The sequence below is a fragment of the Homo sapiens genome, chromosome 8 (genome assembly GCF_000001405.40).
Source record: "Homo sapiens chromosome 8, GRCh38.p14 Primary Assembly".
Classification (NCBI taxonomy): Eukaryota; Metazoa; Chordata; class Mammalia; order Primates; family Hominidae; genus Homo; species Homo sapiens.
This window is the reverse complement of record NC_000008.11, coordinates 51,486,347-51,510,598: the sequence shown is the minus strand read 5'-3', so window position 1 is coordinate 51,510,598 and position 24,252 is coordinate 51,486,347. Positions and strand designations below refer to the sequence as shown.

Sequence of the window (24,252 nt, the reverse complement as noted above, 5' to 3'; positions counted from 1 at the left end):
ATGCCTTCCAGATTTAAGTCCCTCTGCATGTGGCCTATAGTTCCTTTCCCTTGTATGCTTTGTCCTATGCCCCTGCTGTGCTTTAGATTCAAATATGAGCCAACCTCAGTGTCTATTTCTTTATTTCTGCTTTCTACTCCACTGTGTTGGAGGAAACCACAAAATCACAAGGCTGTACTATTTTGAGTCACAACAAACCCATCTCGAATTTCAAGTAGATCCTCAAATAATTCAATTTTTCCAGAAACTCATGTTTGGTAAGAGGAAGTCTTAGCGTGATCTTCTAGAACTAGGTGAGATGAGTTTCTCAGTAAGATCATGCTCTCGATGGGTCAATAAAGGTGAAAACTAAAACTTGACCATGGTCTAGCAATGACAAGGAGCACAATGGAACTCCTTCTCTCGCTGGCTCTGTGGACTCTTCCCAATGTGCCTTTCTTGCCTTAGATCCAATACTCCCCCTACATTTCATAGGTGACTTGGCCTTCTGCCTTTCTAGAACCTTGTGCTAAGGGTCTGTAGAGCATTATCTCTGATCTTGCAGCAGCCCTGCAATATAGATAATATTGTCATTTTTCAGTTTTAATGGGTGTCTTTTGCATGCCAAAACTCTTTAGGATCTGGGCTGTGGCACTAAACAAAACATAAAATCCCTGACCTTGAGGGGCCTGCTAACATTCTAGCAGGGAAGGCAAGCTTTAAAACTAATAAATGAACAAGCATATTGCATAGTATAATGCAAGTTTTTGGCAAATATTTAAATCGGTATATACACACACACACGTATATGTATATATATACATATACGTGTGTGTGTATATATTTGTGTGTGTGTGTGTGTGTGTGTGTGTGTGTGTATATATGTATATATATATGTACACACAGAACCAGGGGAGGGAGGGGTTGAGAAGTGCCAGGACGTGGGAATGTGGTTGTAATTTGAAAAAGGAAGGGTCACAGTTGGGCTCATTGAGTGGGTGGCATTTGAGCAAAGGCTTGGTGGTCAGGGAAGGAGACACATGCATGCCAGGGAGGCACAGCGCAGGCAGAAAGGCAGCCGCTGCTAACACCCTAAGTTAGGAGTGAGCCTGGCATGTGAGAGCAACAGCTTGAATGCTGATGTGGCTGGAGCAGAGAGACAGGCCCAGTTAGCACAGAACTGTGTAGATCAGAGGAACAGATTTGATTTGTATCATTGTGAGCGATGTACATTTTATTCTGAGTGAGCACTGGAGGGTTTTGAAGGACAGTTGGCATGCCTGATCCAACAGGCCTTATAATGGTCACTCTGATTTCTGTGTTTCTTGCATTCTTCTTTATAAAAATGTATTTGACACATAAATGTTGTATATATTTATAATGTACGACATGATGCTTAGATACATGTATACATTGTGAAATGGCCAAGTCAAGCTAATTAACCTATGTCTTACCTCATACACTTATTGTTTTGTGTGTGTGGTGAGAGCATCTAAAATCTACTATCTCAACAAGGATGGCTACGTAGACAATAGGCTATGGCCTGGCAAGGGTGGGGGACCAGTTGGTTGCTTTGCTGTACACTAGGCCAGAAGTGGTGTGGCTTCAGAGTAAGGAGGCAGTAGGGTAGGTTTGGGATGGGTGCAGCATCTGGATCTCTTTTACAACCAACCACTTAGATGTAGGATGTTGGAGAAAGAAAGAAGTAAAAGGAATTACTGAGATTCTTGCCCTAAACAACTAGAAGGAAGTGTGGTCCTCAGCTGAGATGGACATGCTGGGAAGTGGGCATGAAGACTAATCAGGACTGCAGATTTGCACACAACAAGTTTGAGTTGTCTACTAGGCAGCCACATGGGCATGGGGCTGGCAGTAGGGCATGGGTCTCCAATGTAAGGCGGCGGTGAGGGCTGGCTGTGCAATGTGGGTATCTTTGGCACCTGAAAGTGCTCATGTTCCTGGTACTGGATGCTGTTGAGTTTGGCTGGAAAAAGGGAGAAGCCTCAGGACTCAGCCCCAGGCACTCCAGTCCAGGAGGCTGGGGAAAGAGAAGGAAGTAGTGAAGGGCCCTGAGCAGGAGGCCCATTGAGGTGGGAGAAGATCTGGGAGGATGGCATCCTGGAAGCCAGGGAAGAACATGGCAGGGAGAGGGACTAACCGACGCATTCCAATGCTGCTGAAAATCCACTAGGGAAAGGACTAAGAAGTCAGTCCCAGCTTTAGCAGCAATGATCAAAAGGAGCTGAGCTCCTTGTCCTGCATGACATAGCCACAATTCAAAATTCACAGCCTTGTTTTTCTTTTCTACATTTCTCTTACATTTCACAGTTGACTTTGCCTTTTACCTTAAGGGGAAAATTGAGGGCAAAGCTAATAGACCTCTCACTAGCTTTCCTTGTGACAAGAGACGATTGTGAGTTAGTGCCCATTTCCTTTATTCCAGCCTGTTTCACTGGGACACATTCCTGCCTCCTTTTTACAGTAACATCTTCCAATAGCCCTTTTGGTGCCATCGAGTACCATTGGTCCTGTGCAGGGTCTTCCTCACTTTGCTTCTATTAATTCTTTCCCCTTCTTATTTGGCACCCCTTTAATAGTTTTCTATCATTTCATTTTTCTAGGATCCTTTGGAAAAGCTCTTGCAGCCTTCAATTGAGGCTCCACATGGCAGGCATCGTCACCACCACTCCTTCCCGCTCAGAAAATAAAGCAGGCTGTAGCTCAGGTGTTTCTCAACCTGGCACTGTTGACATTTTGGGCTTAGTAATGTTGTGGGGCTGGCCCAGGTCATGTAGGATAGGACGTTGAGCAACACCCTGGTCCCTCCCCACTGGAGGCTAGTAGCACCACCACTTCCAGCTGCGACAACTAAAAGCATCTCCAGACATTGCCAGATATTCCCTGGGAGGATGGAGGGGGACAAAACAAAATCATCCTAAGCTGAAAACCACTGCAAACCATTGCTCTAGCTGGAGTCTCTCTCTAGCTAACTTCCAGTCCTTTGTTTGCATAGCTGCTGGCAATGTTGTAAAATAAAAATTTCACTTAGAAATTTCATTTCTTTGAATCTTGTCATGTGTCCTTATATCTTTAAGGTAAAGTTCAAATCACCTTGTTGAGCACAAAGGAAATGTGTGATTCAGTTCCTGCCCAAGTCCATCTTTGCAGAGTTCTGCAGGCAACCAGTGCTTCTGTCCCGCTCAGCTCCTTACTGTTCTGTGCAAGAGTCCTGCATTTTCATATCTCTGCACTTCACATACATTTGTCTCCCCACTTTCTACACTGTCTTTTCTCTTTTGCATCTAGGTCAGTACTGTTTGTCCACAAAAGTTAGGTAGAGAATCCTTTTCTTTGTATAACCTTTCTTTATCTTTAAATCTAATGTAGATATTTGGATTCTCATGGTATTCCTTGCATCCCATTATTATAATAGGTATTCTACAAGACTGTGGTCATTGATTCCTTGTATTTGACCACTCACCTAATTCCAGTCTCTGAGACGGTCAAGGATCTTGTCTCACACTTCACGGGCACTCAATAAGTACTTATTAATGTTTTAATATACTAAAGGAGCCAGAGGAATGAAGTTACATCTGACACAAGCAGTCACTAAGTCCTTAATGGAAAAAAAAGTACTGTTGATCTTAAATGGGTGAGAAAACACTTTGACTGTTAGACACTATGAAAAAAATCGGAGAGTTTCCAGAGATAATGAATTTGGTTAGAGGGTGCTCAGACTTATGAGGGAGGGGAAAGTCACAGGTTGGCGCTCAATCTTGAAAAGCCTTGAATTCCTGCTAAAGACAGTGAGAAGACATTGATGATCCTTAATAAAGGGGATGGTCTAATCTGCATTTTTCCAGGAAGAACCACCAAATAATTCAACATAGTGTAGATTGGAAAGAAGAGACTGGATTTACATGGAACATTTATAGCTATTAGTTCAGGCAAAAAGAGGTAGAGATTGAACAAAGAGTGAGAAAGATTTTTCATAACTCTCAATCATACTGTATCTAAACTATTGTAGAAACATGACTTTTTCTGTAACTAGTTTTTTTTTTTTTTTTTTTTTTTTTTTTGAGACAGAGTCTCACTCTGTCACCCAGGCTGGAGTGCAGTGGTGCGATCTCGGCTCACTGCAACCTCCGAATCCCTGGTTCAAGCGATTCTCCTGCCTCAGCCTCCCGAGTAGCTGGGATTACAGGCACGCGCCACCATGCCCAGCTAATTTTTGTATTTTTAGTAGAGACGGGGTTTCACCATGTTGGCCAGGATGGTCTCAATCTCCTGATCTCGTGATCCGCCCGCCTTGGCCTCCCAAAGTGCTGGGATTATAGGCGTGAGCCACTGTGCCCAGCCTTTTTCTGTAACTATTCTAATTTAGGATTGAAATAACTTCCCAAAGAGTGAAGCTTGTGCAGTATGATTTTTAACTGGTTTTAACTCTTTAAGAATAAATATAATTCTCTTTATAATGAATTTTGGTAGAATACACTGTTATTGACTTTAGCACAGCATGCAAATGAGATGCTGGAAAGCTTTTCTCTGGAAACTAACAGATTATGATAATTCAGTCAATTTTTCCTTTAAAATCAGTTGAAATAATTTACCGTGCTCTGAAATAAGGATCTTCATTCAGATGTTTAATTAATTCCTGAATAGTATGAATAATTTGTTGGTGTAATAGATAATTCTTGCTTGCTATTGTGCAATGAAGCTAAAGCGTGCCTATTTTAATCTTAGCTGAGATTATTATACAGAAAGTTTGTGTCATCTCAATGCACCCAGCCTGTGGATGTGAGGCAGGACATGGTGGATCTCCAAGCCAGCTGTCAGCAAACTGCTTTTCCTCTGAGCTCTGTTTCATGTGCTAGGATTGTTGACATCTTATATTCAAGATCCCCTGTATTGCAAGCTTCAGATTCAGATGTCCTTAGCTTATGTTACACACATATAGACACATGCAAAATTACATACACAGACACACAGAGACACAGAGACACTCTGGTGTGCAGCCTCCTTCTGCCAACAGTACTCCTTTTTTCTTTACAATCTCATGGATTTTGAGAAAATAAAAAGCAGCCACTTTGTACAAAAAGGTTGAGAACATTGACCGTATATGCTATTTTGATTGTGCAGTTAGATACAGATAAATATAGTGTTTTTCTCCCCATCTCTGCTCTTGCCTTAGATCGGGGTTGCCAAGGTGATCATACGGCACAGAACATTTGTTTTTATGTGGCTCAGTGAGTTCACGCTGAAAGCTAAAGCGATACCAGCGATACCAGCAACTTCTCACACTGAGAATCATTCTCTCTCTATTATTTTTGTTGTCATTCTCTGACCACATGTTCTTGCTCTGCATGTTTTAAAGATCATAGGAAGATTTTTGTCCTCTCTTTGGTGGCCTGATACCTCGGGGTGGTTGTGTAAATAAATATTTACTCAGATACGAGATGTCAAATGTGTTGTCAGTGCTCACAAAAATGTGTGATTCAAACATGTCCCTTTGGAGTGAGATGGATTCTCTTGGAGAAGCCCCAGGAAGACTTTGCTAGATGCCCTCTAGGTTCATTAGTGCTCAAGGATTCTACAAAGTTTTAGGAGATACAATTAAACATACATTATGACAGAGCTTACTAAAGTCAGACTTGTGTAAATGTTTGGGATGGTTCTTCCCCAAGGAAATGTAATGCCATTATAGATTGTTGAGCTGATATTAACTCAGAAAGCTTTTATTAGGATTCATACTCCCATCTTTTGCTTTATACCATAGAACATATGAAAAGTTCAATGTCTTATCCTCACGTTTGCAAAGACAATGCTCATGCAAAAATACTGGCTGGTCATTCATTCTTTCAGTGATCAACTATGTACTGACTATCTATTTGTCAAACTCTGCTAAGAAACTAGGGATGTGAATATTACTTTAAATCCAATATAATTTCTGTCTTCATGGATCTTAGAGTTTCGTTAGGGCAGACAGGCATGGATTACATAATCACTCAAATATTACATTGCAACAGTACAATGCTGGGTGAGCCCATAACAGGGGGATTTGACCAGGAGCTCAGGGAAGGCTTTCCAAGGAAAGAGCACAGTAAGATCTGAAAACAGGTCCAGAATTACCAGGCAAGAAGGGTGGGAAGGTTTACTGGGCTACAAAGACAATCATTCAGAGACTGCTGTAGGCAGGAGTATGGCAGGTATGTGGCTGGGAGGAGGCCAGAGCACTGGGATTGAGGTAGAGCAAGAAGGGGATAAAGGGGATACTGGAAGGGCATTTACAGGCAAGACCAGGCTGGAACTTGGGCTCTGTTGAAAAAATTCTGTCTTTATTTCTATAGAAATTAAAAGCCATTTAAGGGTCTTATATTTCTATTGAGGGTAGACCAGATAGATGTAGGCAGACCAGTTTGTTCTTGTATTTTAGTAACCGAGGGTATAGTTTGCTCTAGTGTGGAAGTAGTGGGTAAGAGGAGAATGGAATACATTCAAGAGATATTTAGGAGGCAAAATAAAAAACGCAGAATTGGGTAAGATACAGGGAGTGAGGGAGACAGAGGGGTCATTGCTAGTTTTCTGAGTTGCGCAAATAGATATACAGCAGTGCCATAAATTGAGACAAGCAAAAATGGAGGACAGCCAGTATGGTGAAGGAGGATTCCTGGGCTGGGTTTCAGACATGTTGGATTTGAGGTTCCTTGAGACATCTAGATGATATTTTAAGAAGACATTGGGTGCATGAATTTAGGTCCTAGAGGTAAATTTGGGTTGGATATGTAATTTGTAGGTCTTCTGCATAGAGATAATAATTGAAGCCATGGATGTTGATGAAATCATCTGGGGAAGCTAAGTATGAATCAACATGACATGACAATGGCAATAATTTCCTGCCTGCTTTAAATAAAGGGATAACTAGTAATTCATTTACATATAAACTTTATGAAGTGACTTAAACAGATTTAAAATCCTCTCAAGTAATCATTCATATTTATCTACCTGCAATAGATATCCAAAAATGGCAGGGTTATCCACAGCCTAGAAAAATAAGATGTAGGAGAGGATAGTCTTGCTCTCTTATCAAGGCACAGAAGGGAGTGGAGATCAAAGCTGACTCCCTCCTTATTTGAATCTGCTAAAGCCATCACATAAATCAAACACATATAACCTAAAACATCCTACTGCTTTAAATTGGCTTAAAGTTTTAAAAAAAATTTTGAAAAAGATTTTGTTAGAAAATTTGTCAAATCATATGGACACAAAACTTAAATATGCTTGCACTATAATCAACAGAACTCTCTGGGTTGTCTTACTTTCCTGCAAGGAACAAAGTCTACTTACATGCATTTTTCTCATTCATTAGTAGTGAATTCCAATACCAGTTGCTTACCCTACTGTGTATTAGATTGAAGTCCAGCAGAAAACATTTGTCCTTCAGGGCATCTCTGGGTGAGTCTAAGATTGCAGTGATTTATTCTAGGGAAGCATGGCTGGAATGGGGAATAGACAGGGCTCTGTGATTAGTGGGCTCTCAGTGGGTGCATTGTGGAAAAGGAGATTATGCATTTCTCATGAATTATGAGCAATTCATAGTAAATATGAATTGCTACCTGTGAAATATTTAAATATTAAATCGATAATTATTAATTACTGTGGATAATAAAACACATAGTAGCTAAGTGATATTGGATAAACTGTTGTATGTTATTCTACCCCTTAGATTGTCTCTTTGCTCTAATTTTAGGTGGCTCAGTATATAAGATGCCCTCCCAAGCGAAAGCTGTCTTTCTACTTCTAGCAATGCAGACACCTGTGCAAACTATGGAGGATGCACATTTGATCAATGATGGCAGGAATACTAGTGCTACTTAAAAATTCTTATGCTAAACTCAAGTTTTCTTTATAATAAATTGTTTCAAAGCATTAAAAAGTTGAAAGGAAAAAAAAAAACACTTCTACTGGGCTTATACATAAGCTAGAATACTCCCTTTGAAAATCTGGGAGTTGTTAGGTTGGCTAAACCACAGACCCGGCTCGTGACTCCTTTCCTGTGACCTGTTAGGTTGTTTTATGACTGGAATGTGATGCTTGCCTCCAGTTAAGAACCCCACAGCTTCACATTTAAAAAGCCACTAATGTAGGCAAACTGAGAACAGGAGTGTAGAGAGCATGGGTTTTGCTGGGTTTGTGGCTTGGATTTACCATTGATTGGCTTTGTGGCTTTGGGCACTTTCCTTCTCCCTGTGGAGTATCTGTTTCCATACCCAAGAAAGGCTCTGCTCCGGGATTCTTGGATCAGGTTTCCATAGCTCATCTCTGGGTGATCTGTGTCAGCTGAGCCTGTGCACGGCCGCCCCCCACTTGCTGCTAGAGAGGCTGGCTGTGTGAAATTGAACAAATTACTTTATCTCTGTACCACATTTTTCCTAAGTAAATAATGGTGTATTTATAGAACCTACCACACAGTGTAGTTGCAAAAATTAAAAATGACTAAATACATGTAAAGCACTTAGGACAATAAATTTTTTTTTGCTGTTGCTCTTATTTACTTTATGCTAAGTTTGATGCCCTCATCAGCACTTATTCCTAGTCTTCATAAAATGTCTATTTGTACTCTACAGGCCTGGGCCTGTCCAGTATACACAGAGATTGGAATCCAACCATGCGATACATTTCACTTGGGAAGAGAAACCTTGTAATGGACCCTCCTTCTAACTCTTTCTTCACTGCAGTCACAGAGACTTCTCTCTCTTCCCTGCTTTCAGCAGCCAGTCTCTGCCTAACACTCCTCCCCCACATCCTCTTTCACTCTCCCAGCCCCTACCTCCTTTTTAATGTGCTAGACCAATGACACAGGTAATGATTTTGTGGGGGACAGTGTGTGAGTGTGTGGGAGTATGTGTGTGTGACTGTGTTAGTGTATGTGAGCATATATGTGAATACATGTGTCAGTGCGTGAAAGTGTGTTAGTGTACATGAGACAGTGTGAGTGTGAGCATGACAGTGTGAGTGTGTGAGATTAGGTGAGTGTGTGTGAGTGTGTAGATGTGTATCTGAGTGTGATGCTGTGTGTTAGTGTATGTGAGAGTGTATGTGAACAAGTGTGAGTGTGCACGAGTGTCCGTGTGTGTGTTAGTGTAAGTGTGGTAGTGCATATGAGTATATGTAAGTGTGTGAGTGTGAGCATGTGTGGGTATGAGGGAGTCTGAGCATGTGAGAGTGTGTTCATGTAGGTGTGTCAGAGTGTGTCAGTGTGAGACAATGTGAGAGTGTGTGTCAGTATGAAAGTATGTGTGAAGCTGAGAGTGTCTGTGTGTGTGAGAGTCTGTTAGTGAGTGTGAGTGTGTGTATAATTCAAGGCAACCAAGGTAAAGTTGTTTCATGCTAACCCAAAGGCAATTATTGCCAGGTCTTATACAATGTCACCACGGTAAAATGTCACCACTTTTAAAATGAACAGAACTCCTGGGAGGAATGCATGGGATACGGGCCAGGATGCTGAATTTCAGAGAGTAGTACAGTGTGGCACTGCTTCTGGATCCAACCTAAGGCAGTCTGAAACAATCATACCTTTCCAGTGACATGGTTTTCATTCTCTTGTGATTATTATACTTTTTCATTAGGTGTCTGAAGTACTCTTACTATAATAATGATTTATAAGAAGGAAGCCTAGGAATGAAGTAAAAGTATTTCTTTTTCTTAAACATTTTTCTTTTCTCCTTTCAAAAATATTTCTAACTGTGATGAAATAAATACATTTTATGGAAACGTGGGTTGTAAAGCTTTCTTTTTACTTGCCTGCCATTACTTCAAGTCAGAGAGCTTCCCATTGACAAAATCAAGTACTATTCACTGTGTCTTCCCACATAAATGTACAATATCCTCTTTTCCAATTTGGTGTGAAAGTTTGTTACTTTTCATGGAAACTTTGTATCTGCAGTGCTTTCTTCAGCAGTTCACTATAGACTGCTATATATCACTGTTGGTTTCACTGAGATTGTTTGAAAAAGCTGTGTTCAGAAGTCAGGTGCAGGGAATACACTTAAATTTTCTAAGAGGAGTGTGCAGCCTTCCCCATGGATCTTTCTGTCTGTTGGGAAGATTTGCTTCACAAAGGTCTGCTCAACTGTCTGCTTTGGAAACATGCTTCTCCATTTCATCACAGGATTTCTGAAGGAAATGCAAGCCTTTCTGTCTTCAGTTGCCCTGCTTTAAGAGAAGCCTTTCTGAAATGGAAGCTTAGGAAATAACTCCTGGATCAGTTGCACAGAGGGGATACCAAGGTCTGAAAAAGTCTAATTCCTAATTCCAAAAGGATTAAAACAAGACACATTACTTCTCATCCATCCCCCAGGGTTAAGATTAATTCATTTCAAGTATGATGATCATATGACATCAAATATGCCATACTTTGACTCCGTCAGACAGGACACTTCTCCCTGTTCTGAAATGTAAATAAGCATGTGGTCACTTGTAATGTATCTTATTATGTTTGTAATCTTAATTATTACCGTAACTTTGCTTACTTTAAACATTTTAATGAATAAAAGAGTAATTTCAACAACCAGTTAGCATCGACTCAAGAGGCTCCCTGGGAAAAGGGGGCAGCATCATGCTCCTTTCTGGGTGGGCTTTGGATTCCCCTTTGGAACATCAGGTTTTTAGACCCGGGACTGTGACGAACAGAAGAGACAAAATATCTCAGAGTTTCTGATTTTTGTATGTGATATATAGTGGTTGGGGCCAGTGAAATTCATAATTTCAGCTGAAGCAATTGCTAATTCTTCAAACATTTTATTTTACTCACCAGCACAAGGAGTAACCAACTTGATTTTTTGCCTTCCAGGTATATTCATTTCAACCAACTAGAAATGCTACAGCCAGAGACCTTTGGAGACCTTCTGAGATTAGAGCGACTGTAAGTGTTGACCCTTTAGATGTCCTTTGCTTCTGCTTTACATTTTCCATTTATACAACCCATCTGACTGCCGTGGAGATCAGGCCACTTTGCTGTAAGCTTTAGAGGCAGAGCCTGTACCTTGGCACTACAAAACAGAGTTAATATAAAGCTTTCTATACTTTAAGATCAATGGAGAAAAGGTGAAATAGCCAATGAAAAACAGGGCAAAAGAGAGGAAGAAGCACTTCACAAATGAGAGAAAGCTATTTAAAAAACTTACATCAGGGGTCAGGCAAGGTGGCTCACACCTGTAATCCCAGTACTTTGGGAGGCCGAGGTGGGCGGATCACCTGAGTTCAGGAGTTCGATACCAGCTTGGCCAAGATAGTGAAACCCTGCCTCTGCTAAAAATACAAAAAAGTAGCTGGACCTGGTGGCACACTCCTGTAATCCCAGCTACTCAGGAGGCTGAGGCATGAGAATCACTTGAGTCCGGGAGGCGTAGGTTGCAGTGAGCCGAGATCGTGCCACTGCACTCCAGCCTGGGTGACAGAGTGAGACTCCATCTCAAAAACAAACAAACAAACATAACCTTACAGCAGAATCTAGTATAGTTGAACATATACATCCCCTAAGATCTAGCAGTTTCACTTTCAGGAACATGCACAGCAGAAATTCACATATGTACGCACCAGAAGATGTGTTCTTGTATTGCAGCAGCATTGTTTCTGGTAGCTCCACACTGAGAACTACTCAAGTCTCCAACAACAAAAGAGTAGAGAAATAAGCTGTTGTATATTCATAAAATATAATACTATACTGCAACACGGATGGATGTCAGAAACATTCTGAGAATAATAATCTAAACGCTGAAACTTGCATAGTTCTATTTTATTCTCAAAAGAAATTTTAAAAGAGGTAGCAGAAATATATGTGGTATTGAGAAGTTGAATGGTGCTTACCTTTAGTAGGAGAGAGGCCATTGGAAATGGCAGGAGGAGCCTCCGTAGGCCTGGCAATGTTTTGTATTCTTGGTTTTTCCTGGGTGGTAATTACACAGCTGTGTTCACTTTCAGGCAAGGCATTGTACTCTACATCACGATGTCTACACTTTTCCAGATGAATGTTGTATTTCAATAAAGGCTTATTAAATAAACAATGACAAACAACAAGGGCACTTGGATATCCTTCTTCTGTTTTGTCTTTTATCAAATGAAGTTACTCTGCTACTTCAGTTTTTCTAATACCTTATATTAATAAATTTATTTATTTATTTAATTTTTTTATTATACTTTAAGTTTTAGGGTACATGTGTACAACATGCAGGTTAGTTACATATGTATACATGTGCCATGTTGGTGTGCTGCACCCATTAAGTCATTATTTAACATTAGGTATATCTCCTAATGCTATCCCTCCCCCCTCCCCCGACCCCACAACAGGCCCCGGTGTGTGATGTTTCCCTTCCTGTGTCCATGTGTTCTCATTGTTCAATTCCCACCTATGAGTGACAACATGCGGTGTTTCGTTTTCTGTCCTTGCGATAGTTTGCTGAGAATGATGGTTTCCAGTTTCATCCATGTCCCTACAAAGGACATGAACTCATCACTTTTTATGGCTGCATAGTATTCCATGGTGTATATGTGCCATATTTTCTTAATCCAGTCTATCATTGTTGGACATTTGGGTTGGTTCCAAGTCTTTGCTATTGTGAATAGTGCCACAATAAACATACATGTGCATGTGTCTTTATAGCAGCATGATTTATAATCCTTTGGGTATATACCCAGTAATGGGATGGCTGGGTCAAATGATATTTCTAGTTCTAGATCCCTGAGGAATCACCACACTGACTTCCACAATGGTTAAACTAGTTTAGAGTCCCACCCACAGTGTAAAAGTGTTCCTGTTTCTCCACATCCTCTCCAGCACCTGTTGTTTCCTGACTTTTTAATGATCGTCATTCTAACTGGTGTGAGATGGTATCTCATTGTGGTTTTGATTTGCATTTCTCTGATGGCCAATGATGATGAGCATTTTTTTAAGTGTCTGTTGGCTGCATAAATGTCTTCTTTTGAGAAGTGTCTGTTCGTGTCCTTCACCCACTTTTTGATGGGGTTGTTTGCTTTTTTCTTGTAAATTTGAGTTCAGTGTAGATTCTGGATATTAGCCCTTTGTCAGATGAGTAGATTGCAAAAATTTTCTCCTAGTCTGTAGGTTGCCTGTTCACTCTGATGGTAGTTTCTTTTGCTGTGCAGAAGCTCTTTAGTTTAATTAGATCCTGTTTGTCAATTTTGGATTTTGTTGCCATTGCTTTTGGTGTTTTAGACATGAAGTCCTTGCCCATGCCTATGTCCTGAATGGTATTGCCTAGGTTTTCTTCTAGGGTTTTTATGTTTTGGGTCTAACATTTAAGTCTTTAATCCATCTCGAGTGAATTTTTGTATAAGGTGTCAGGAAGGGATCCAGTTTCAGCTTTCTACATATGGCTAGCCAGTTTTCCCAGCACCATTTATTAAATAGGGAATCCTTTCCCTATTTCTTGTTTCCATCAGGTTTGTCAAAGATCAGATGGTTGTAGATATGCGGCATTATTTCTGAGGGCTCTGTTCTGTTCCATAGGTCTCTGTCTCTGTTTTGGTGCCAGTACCATGCTGTTTTGGTTACTGTAGCCTTGTAGTATAGTTTGAAGTCAGGTAGGGTGATGCCTCCAGCTTTGTTCTTTTGGCTTAGGATTGACTTGGCAATCCGGGCTCTTTTTTGGTTCTATATGAACTTTAAAGTAGTTTTTTCCAATTCTGTGAAGAAAGTCATTGGTAGCTTGATGGGGATGGCATTGAATCTATAAATTACCTTGGGCAGTTGGCCATTTTCATGACATTGATTCTTCCTACCCATGAGCATGGAATGTTCTTCCATTTGTTTGTATCCTCTTTTATTTCATTGAGCAGTGGTTTGTAGTTCTCCTTGGGGGTCCTTCACGTCCCTTGCAAGTTGGATTCCTAGGTATTTCATTCTCTTTGAAGCAATTGTGAATGGGATTTCACTCATGATTTGGCTCTCTGTTTGTCTGTTATTGGTGTATAAGAATGCTTGTGATTTTTGCACATTGATTTTGTATCCTGTATCTTGAGACTTTGCTGAAGTTGCCTATCAGCTTAAGAAGATTTTGGGCTGAGACGACGGGGTTTTCTAAATATACAATCATGTCATCTGCAAACAGGGACAATTTGACTTCCTCTTTTCCTGATTGAATACCCTTTATTTCCTTCTCCTGCCTAATTGCCCTGGCCAGAACTTCCAGCACTATGTTGAATAGGAGTGGTGAGAGAGGGCATCCCTGTCTTGTGCCCATTTTCAAAGGGAATGCTTCCAGTTTTTGCCCATTCAGTATGATATTGGCTGTAGGTTTGTCATAGATAGTTCTTATTATTTTGAGATACATCTCATCAATACCTAATTTATTGAGAGTTTTTAGCATGAAGGTTGTTGAATTTTGTCAAAGGCCTTTTCTGCATCTATTGAGATAATCATATGGTTTTTGTCATTGGTTCTGTTTATATGCTGGATTACATTTATTGATTTCCATATGTTGAACCAGCCTTGCATCCCAGGGATGAAGCCCACTTGATCATGGTGGATAAGCTTTTTGATGTGCTGCTGGATTCGGTTTGCCAGTATTTTATTGAGGATTTTTGCATCGATGTTCATCAGGGTCATTGGTCTAAAATTCTCTTTTTTTGTTGTGTCTCTGCCAGGCTTTGGTATCAGGATGATGCCAGCCTCATAAAATGAGTTAGAGAGGATTCCCTCTTTTTCTGTTGATTGGAATAGTTTCAGAAGGAATGGTACCAGCTCCTCCTGGTACCTCTGGTAGAATTTGGCTGTGACTCCTTCTGGTCCTGGCCTTTTTTTGGTTGGTAAGCTATTAATTATTGCCTCACTTTCAGAGCCTGTTATTGGTCTATTCAGAGATTCAACTTCTTCCTGGTTTAGTCTTGGGAGGGTGTATGTGTCGAGGAATTTATCCATTTCTTCTAGATTTTCTAGTTTATTTGCATAGAGGTGTTTATAGTATTCTCTGATGGTAGTTTGTGTGTCTGTGGGATCGGTGGTGATATCCCCTTTATCATTTTTTATTGCATCTATTTGATTCTTCTCTCTTTTCTTCTTTATTAGTCTTGCTAGCGGTCTATCAATTTTGTTGATCTTTTCAAAAACCAGCTCCTGGATTCATTGATTTTTTGAAGGGTTTTTTGTGTCTCTATTTCCTTCAATTCTGCTCTGATCTTAGTTATTTCTTGCCTTCTGCTAGCTTTTGAATGTGTTTGCTCTTGCTTTTCTAGTTCTTTTAATTGTGATGTTAGGGTGTCAATTTTAGATCTTTCTTGCTTTCTCTTGTGGGCATTTAGTGCTATAAATTTCCCTCTACACACTGCTTTGAATGTGTCCCAGAGATTCTGGTATGTTGTGTCTTTGTTCTCATTGGTTTCAAAGAACATCTTTATTTCTGCCTTCATTTTGTTATGTACCCAGTAGTCATTCAGGAGCAGGTTGTTCAGTTTCCATGTAGTTGAGTGGTTTTGAGTGAGTTTCTTAATCCTGGGTTCTAGTTTGATTGCACTGTGGTCTGAGAGACAGTTTGTTGTAATTTCTGTTCTTTTCCTTTTGCTGAGGAGTGCTTTACTTCCAACTATGTGGTCAATTTTGGAATAGGTGTGGTGTGGTGCTGAAAAGAATGTATATTCTGTTGATTTGGGGTGGAGAGTTCTGTAGATGTCTATTAGGTCTGCTTGGTGCAGAGCCGAGTTCAATTCCTGGATATCCTTGTTAACTTTCTGTCTCGTTGATCTGTCTAATGTTGACAGTGGGGTGTTAAAGTCTCCCATTATTATTGTGTGGGATTCTAAGTCTCTTTGTAGGTCTCTAAGTACTTGCTTTATGAATCTGGGTGCTCCTGTATTGGGTGCATATATATTTAGGAGAGTTAGCTCTTCTTGTTGAATTGATCCCTTCACCATTATGTAATGGCCTTCTTTGTCTCTTTTGATCTTTGTTGGTTTAAAGTCTGTTTTATCATAGACTAGGATTGCAACCCCTGCCTTTTGTTGTTTTCTATTTGCTTGGTAGATCTTCTTCCATCCCTTTATTTTGAGCCTATGTGTGTCTCTGCACGTGAGATGGGTTTGCTAAATACAGCACACTGATGGGTCTTGACTCTTTATCCAATTTGCCAGTCTGTGTCTTTTAATTGGAGCATTTAGCCCATTTACATTTAAGGTTAATATTGTTATGTGTGAATCTGATCCTGTCATTATGATGTTAGCTGGTTATTTTCTCATTAGTTGGTGCAGTTTCTTCCTAGTCTCGATGGTCTTTACAATTTGGCATGTTTTTGCAGTGGGTGGTGCCGGTTGTTCCTTTCCATGTTTAGTGCTTCCTTCAGGAGCTCTTTTAGGGCAGGCCTGGTGGTGACAAAGTCTCTCAGCATTTGTTTGTCTGTAAAGTATTTTATTTATCCTTCAGTTATGAAGCTTAGTTTGGCTGGATATGAAATTCTGGGTTGAAAATTCTTTTCTTTAAGAATGTTGAATATTGGCCCCCACTCTCTTCTGGCTTGTAGAGTTTCTGCTGAGAGATCCGCTGTTAGTCTGATGGGCTTCCCTTTGTGGGTAACCCGACCTTTCTCTCTGGCTGCCCTTAACATTTTTTCCTTCATTTCAACTTTGGTGAATCTGACAATTATGTGTCTTGGAGTTACTCTTCTTGAGGAGTATCTTTGTGGCGTTCTCTGTATTTCCTGAATTTGAATGTTGGCCTGCCTTGCTAGATTGGGAAGTTCTCCTGGATAATATCCTGCAGACTGTTTTCCAACTTGGTTCCATTCTCCCTGTCACTTTCAGGTACACTAGTCAGATGTAGATTTGGTCTTTTCACACAGTCCCATATTTCTTGGAGGCTTTGTTCATTTCTTTTTATTCTTTTTTCTCTAAACTTCTCTTCTTGCTTCATTTCATTCATTTGATCTTCCATCACTGATACAGTTTCTTCCACATGATCAAATCGGCTACTGAGGCTTGTGCATTCGTCATGTAGTTCTTGTGCCTTGGTTTTCAGCTCCATCAGGTCCTTTAAGGACTTCTCTGCATTGGTTATTCTAGTTAGCCATTCGTCTAATTTTTTTTCAAGGTTTTTAACTTCTTTGCCATGGGTTCGAACTTCCTCCTTTAGCTCGGAGTAGTTTGATCATCTGACACCTTCTCTCAATTCGTCAAAAGTCATTCTCCTTCCAGCTTTGTTCCGTTGCTGGTGAGGAGCTGCCTTCCTTTGGAGGAGGAGAGGCGCTCTGATTTTTAGAGTTTCCAGTTTTTGTGCTCTGTTTTTTTCCCCATCTTTGTGGTTTTATCTACTTTTGGTCTTTGATGATGGTGACGTACAGATGGGGTTTTGGTGTAGATGTCCTTTCTGTTTGTTAGTTTTCCTTCTAACAGTCAGGACCCTCAGCTGCAGGTCTGTTGGAGTTTGCTGGAGGTCCACTCCAGATCCTGTTTGCCTGGGTATCAGCAGCGCAGTCTGCAGAACAGTGGATATTGGTGAGCAGCAAATGTTGCTGCCTGATCGTTCCTCTGGAAGTTTTGTCTCAGAGGAGTACCTGGCCGTGTGAGTTGTCAGTCTGCCCCTACTGGGGGGTGCCTCCCAGTTAGGCTACTCAGGGTTCAGAGACCCACTTGAGGAGGCAGTTTGTCCATTCTCAGGTCTCCAGCTGGGTGCTGGGAGAACCACTACTCTCTTCAAAGCTGTCAGACAGGGACATTTAAGTCTGCAGAGGATTATGCTGCCTTTTGTTTGGCTATGCCCTGCCCCCAGAGGTGGAGTCTACAGAGGCAGGCAGGCCTCCTTACGCTGCGGTGGGCTCCACCCAGTTCGAGCTTCTGGGCTGCTTTGTTTACGTAGTCAAGCCTGGGCAATCGCAGGCGCCCCTCCCCCAGCCTCACTACCTCCTTGCAGTTTGATCTGAGACTGCTGTGCTAGCAATGAGAGAGGCTCCGTGGGCGTAGGACCCTCCGAGCCAGGTGCGGGATACAATCTCCTGGTGTGCCATTTGCTAAGACTATTGGAAAAGCATAGTATTAGGGTGGGAGTGGCCTGATTTTCCAGGTGCCATCTGTCACCCCTTTCTTTGACTAGGAAAGGGAATTCCCTGACCCCTTGAGCTTTCTGGGTGAGGTGATGCCTTGCCCAGCTTTGGCTCATGCTCAGTGTGCTGCACCCACTGTCCTGCACCCACTTTCTGACACTCTCCAGTGAGATGAACCCGGTACCTCAGTTGGAAATGCAGAAATCACCTGTCTTCTGTGTCGCTCATGCTGGGAACTGTAGACTGGAGCTGTTCCTATTTGGCCATCTTGGCTCCACCCCAATAAATTTACTGTATCTAGCTGATGATATGCTATTTCTCTCTGAAAAGAAAGAAAATGCAGAATTACATAGCTAACCTTAAGCAGAAAAATGTTTTCCCTTAAAGAAAATTTGAATTAAAAATTTATGTTTAAAAAAGGATGCCCTTAATTAATATACAAAATAAATTAGTAAAATTAAAGGCTAAGAAGAGCCAGTCAACCACTTTCTTATGCAGTTACTGCAACCTCATTTGCCTATAGAAGTATAGCAGTTGCAAGGCATAAAATCACATGGTTTGCTTTTGTTTGCTTTGTGCTGGAGACATGTGATCATGAATATGAAATGAGGTAGGAAAGTGTGTTATACTACTCCTTTTCTGCTCTAACCTGTGTGAGCAGGGAGCCAGCCCTGTGCAGGACAGCCCTGGTGCAAGACAGATGGATTGTTCAAGATTTAGCATCACAATGGTTAATAACTTCAAAAGACATGGGACTCCAACTTTAATTTGGGGGAAATTTCTTTGTCACATTGTTAACCTTGTGTTCTTGTGGTGTAGCAATAAACCACCAAGCCTTGTATTTTTGTCGTGTAGCCAATAAACCACCAAGATTCAAAGTCCTCACCAACAGCAGCCCTGAAAACTGTGAAGATGGGAAGGGGAGAGTCCTGCTGCCTGGGGAGGTGTGGAAGCCCTGGCAGGCAGGCCCATGGCAGTGGTGGTGGGGTTTGCCTTTATAGAAGGGACTTCTTAGCTTGGGATCCATCAGCGGGCTTGGAAGGCAGGGAATGGACTAACTAAAAAAGTTTTAGCTTCTGGTTTCTTTCCTATTGTCTAAATATATTTGCATCTATTTTAACCTTGTAGTACAGACATGTGATATCAAATCATATCATAAAATAGAGCTCCTGAAAGAAAACTCGAGCCTGGACCCTCTCTCCAGAGGCAGCTTCTTTTAGGTATTTCTCTTTTATATTCTTTGGTTGTTGCCATCATAATTGTCTAGTGTATTAGGGTTCTCTAGAGGGACAGAATTAATAGGATAGATAGATGTATAAAAAAGGGAGTTTATTAAGGGATATTAACTTACATTATCACAGGGTCCCACAATAGACCATTTGCAAGCTGAGGAGTAAGGAAGCCAGTCTAAGTCCCAGACTTGAAGAATTTGGAGTCTGATGTTTGAGGGCAAGAAGAATGCAGCTCAGTAGAAAAATGTAGTCTGGGAGGCTAAGCCAGTCTAGTCTTTTTACGTTCTTCTGCCTGCTTTTTATTCTGGCCACGCCGGCAGCTGATTAGATGGTGCCTACTCAGATTAAGGGTGGGTCTGCCTTTCCCAGTTCACTGACTCAAATGTTAATCTCCTTTGGCAACACCCTCACAAGCACACCAAGGATCAATATTTTGCAGCCTTCAATCCAATCAAATTAACACTCAGTATTAACCATCACAGCTAGGTAATAGATTTTTATTTCATTCATTTTCAACTGTAGGAGATATCAATTTTCACTCTGAAGATGAGGATTTATCTTGCTTATGCTACCCCTGTGTGATACACACACACACACACACACACACACACACACACACTAGAAAGTCAATTACATACTGATGAGTGAACTATTTGTATGTGTATATATGTATATATATGTATATATGTGTATATATATGTATATATATGTATATATATATGTGACTCATAAATAAAGTCCACTAAATATATATATATACATATACATATTTCGTCCATTCATTGGTATGTAATTGACCTTCTAATTCTTGTGGCATTAATTTTGATAGCCTGTCTTCTTTATTTAAAGTTTTGAAACTACTACCCAATCCCATACTTGCATTTTCTTCACCTTTTACATCTTCACTCTGTTAGCTATGTTATTATCTTTATATTACTCAGATATTCAACGTTTTTCCTGCAACTACAATGAAATTTCTTGCTGTTGACCATAAATTACCTTGAACAATTAGAAGTATATATCATTTTAACTAAATTATTGTAGGATCAGGAAACATGCTCAGATTTTATTTCTTTCTCTATGTGTAAATATTATAAATCTGGCCACTTCAAAAATAATTGTCTTAATAAAAGGGCTATTTTCTTGTGTGATTTAAATTATTTAAAATAATGTCATGTCTTTGGTTCATATTTGAACTGTTATTTTCTTACATAATTTTTGCTTTTCCTGGACATTCTAAATGCATTATGTGTCTTTGCAATATCTTCACATTTTTTATACAATCAAATTATATAAACCATGTCATTTCTCTTTTACACCAGAGACCCCTGTCTTCTAATTTGAACTGGCTTTTCATTAGGATTAGTGTCACCTGCCATAAACCTGGGATTTCCCTTCACTAATTGCTTGAGTGAAGTCCATGGTTTCTGGTCTCCATTCTTCCTTTTTCTTGTGTTACTTCTTTGTTCTGCTGGAATACATGTTGAAGAACTTGCTATGAAAAGGCTTAAGGGAGATAGTTTTGATAATCCTTGAATGCCTGAAATTGTATGTATTATTTCCTCATAATTAGTTGATAGGTTGTCTGTTATAAAATTATAAGTTCAAGAAGTTTCCCTTGATCTTTGAAGAATCCATTCTATTTCTTCTAGCCTATTATGATTCTATTTTATAGGAAATCAATTTTATTTTCACAGAGAGGTTTAAAATTTTATGATTATTCTTTATTTTTAAAAATCTTACAGGTCAAATGTAATGGCCTGCACTTTGAGAGGCTGAAGTGGGAGGATTGCTTGAGCCCAGGAGTTCCAGACTAGCCTGGGCAACATAGCAAAACCCAATCTCTACAAAAAATAAAAATAAATTAGCTGAGCATGATGGCAGGCACCTGTAGTCTCAGCTACTTGGGAGGGTGAGGCAGGAGGACTGCTTGAGCCTAGGAGGTTGAGGCTGCAATGAACCATGATTGGGCCACTGTACTCCATCCTGAGTGAAGGGTGAGAACCTGTCTCTAAATAAACATATAGTTAAAATAAAAATAAGATCTTATAAATTTACATCAAGGAATGAGACTTTTCAATTATTGGAGTTTTCAATGTAAAGACAAATCCATCCACAATTTTGAAAGATTCTCTTTAATTATTTATTTGACTATGTTTCCCTTTATTCTTTCTGTCTTCTCTTCTAGAGATACCTTAATTGAATATTAGATCATCTGGATCTCTGTATTTTTTATCTTTTGTTTCATAATATCTGTTATTTCGTCATTTTGATTCCTAACCTGGTATGTTTTACTTACTTTTTAACATTTACTACATAAAAACATTTTTTAATCAGAGTTTAATTCCTAAGAGATCTTTCTTGTTTCCGATTTGTCTTCTATAGAAACTTATCCTTGTTTTACAAGTATGATACATATTGCAGTCTCTGAGTACATGTAATAATTGTAATGCTTTCTTACTCTTTTTCTCTAGTTCTTGGAATTTCCCTGTTTCTTCTGGCATTGTTTTCCTTTTTGAAAATCTTGGCCTTTCTTTTTCATGTTCCTAATTAACCTCCCATGCCTTGTGATTCTTCATTGTCTATTGATATTTGAAATTAATAGCATTTCAATTGGTAGTGTGAGTTTCACCTGCTCTCCTTTAGATAAGTTTATTTTCTTACAAAATTTTCCCTTTGGTGTAAATTTTAGTTTGAACAATTGGATGTAAAATGCAGATTTATCTTCCTAAATTCCAGAATGAGGAAGGCTTTTTCTCTTGAGTTTCAGCTCCACAAAAATTCCGTTACTTTTCTTCTTTCAATTTGTTCAATTTCTTTGGAAAAAATCTCTATTTCTATGTCTGTCTCATCTATCAGTATGTCAATAACATTTTCCTCTTAGCTGTCGGTGTTCTGTATGGATGGTGGCTACTAATTATTGTGTTTCTCCATCCAGGTCTTTGTGAACCCTTGTTTGCAATCTCACTTCTCCCTCCTCTGCCCCTGCCGTAACTGTTTGGGGTCTCTGGGCGACACACAGTCAGATTGCTCCTGCCTCATAGGATTCTCTGGGCTGCAGCTTTCTCTCCTATTTCATCTGTCAACATTTTCTCATGTATTTTATTTTTCCAGAATTTGCTGAATACTCTTATCTGTTGGTGAACTTCCACATTCTGCCCTCTTGAATATGGATATATTTTTTCTTATTAAGCATCCTGGTAATTATTTCAATGGAGATTCAAAAGAGATTGAGGAAGATTTGCATATCTACTTCACTATTTTGGACTAAAATTCTTTTCCCCGGAACTTTGAAATTTGTTTGCTGAAATAATATTTTTTAGTGCTAAAATTATCCTATTAAGGCATTTCTAAATTCAAGCAAATTTACCATGACTTTATCTGCAGACTGCACATAGTCGAGTAATGTGCGTTCAGCAGGAGCAGCACAATGCCTAGAATGGTTCTTTATTGTTATGATTTGACAAAAGCGCCTTTGTGTTACATTCATAAGTACTAACCTCTAACACCTGGATAGGAATGTTCTTTTCAATGAAGTCATGATCTCAATACAATCAAGAAAGTCCTGCATCTTCCTCTTTTCTATTAAAAGAAGGATTGATTTGAAAATCTTCACTTTACCAAGTTAGGTTTTCTCCAAAAGATAAGTCTTATCTTCAAACACAATCAACTTCTTACTACTACGTTACCAAGCAAAAGAATCCAAGCACATTTAGTGGAGCCATGTGGTTTAAAATGTTCAAGTTACTTTAGAGCTTGGTGCTCCGGCAGAAAATTGAATGAGTGCTTTCGTTAAAGTATGTCAAGCATTACAGAATTTGGACTTTTTGGCTAAAAATTTATGGTTGGTATTAAAGAACACAGAGTCGACCAGACTGGACAATGTTTTCTCTATCTGGTATGCACCTCACTAAAGCTGAGGCCATTTCACGAAGTTTTCTCAAGGAGTAGGAGCTGAATATGACTTTAACTCTACTTCTCAAAAGTCTCCTGGATTTTCAAGGGATACATCTTGAAACATTAACCTAAACCTTAGGCAGAAGATTTACTTTCTTAGAACATTTATGAGGAAAATGCTCATTCATGACTTGACTTTTTTAGATAATATGCATGTTTCTGTCACAGGAAGGAGACAAGTCTTTGTATAAACTCTGTATAAACTTTGTATAAAAGTAGATACTGCTCAAATATTATTTTTTTGATCAAGCATCTTTGACAGAAGACAGCAGCAGCAAATAATTATATAAACTTTTCGGCCGGGTGCGGTGGCTCCCTCCTGTAATCCCAGCACTTTGGGAAGCCGGGGCGGGCCGATCACGAGGTCAAGAGATGGAGGCCATTCTGGCCAACATGGTGAAACCCCGTCTCTACAAAAATACAAAAAATTAGCTGGGCGGGGTGGCATGCGCCTGTAGCTACTTGGGAGGCTGAGGCAGGAGAATTGCTTGAACCCAGGAGGCGGAGGTTTCAGTGAGCCAAGATTGTGCCACTGCACTGCAGCCTGGCAAGAGTGAGACTCCGTCTCAAAAAAAAAAAAAAAAAAAAAAAAAAATATATATATATATATATATATATATATATATATATATATATATAAACTTTTTAACATAGGAAGAAGTGCTTTTTAGCTTCTTGTTGGGAGTAAAGCAATCAAAGTCATCTACAAGCAGAAATCAACAAATACATTGCATAACTGTTTTGAAAATTAATTTCAGGAAAGTTGGAAAGAAGAAAGAAAAAAAGGAAACTACAAGCATACATTTTTGCACCCCATGCAAATCAGTACTGCTGGAACAGTACTACTGTTTTAATTTACTGAATACTACTGGGATAGTATTCTAGGAGATAACCAATGACAGTTATTATTATCATAATTTTTCCTTTATACATAAAGGGACTGAGACTTAGATTAATCTGCTTGAAAGCAAGTTGTTATAGAAATATCAAGTAGCAGTAATATCTGATTTGGGAATCATATATCATGTTTGATATAAACTGAT

General features: G+C 39.7%; 1 protein-coding gene across 9 annotated transcripts in view; it reads left to right on the top strand.

The window, feature by feature from the left end:
* The window catches only part of PXDNL (peroxidasin like), a 489,869-nt gene that overhangs the window by 298,847 nt on the left and 166,770 nt on the right, over positions 1-24,252 (top strand). For 8 of the 9 annotated variants that reach the window (XR_007060701.1, XM_047421364.1, XM_047421365.1 and 5 more), the window contains one exon: positions 10,829-10,900. Coding sequence is in view for 8 of the 9 variants with exons in the window: in XM_047421364.1 (XP_047277320.1) it covers positions 10,829-10,900 (72 nt within the window). In the remaining variant the exon portion in view is untranslated. Of the gene's footprint in view, positions 1-10,147; positions 10,266-10,828; positions 10,901-24,252 lie in introns of those variants that run through there. The other variant, XM_017013041.2, reaches the window with a different exon arrangement.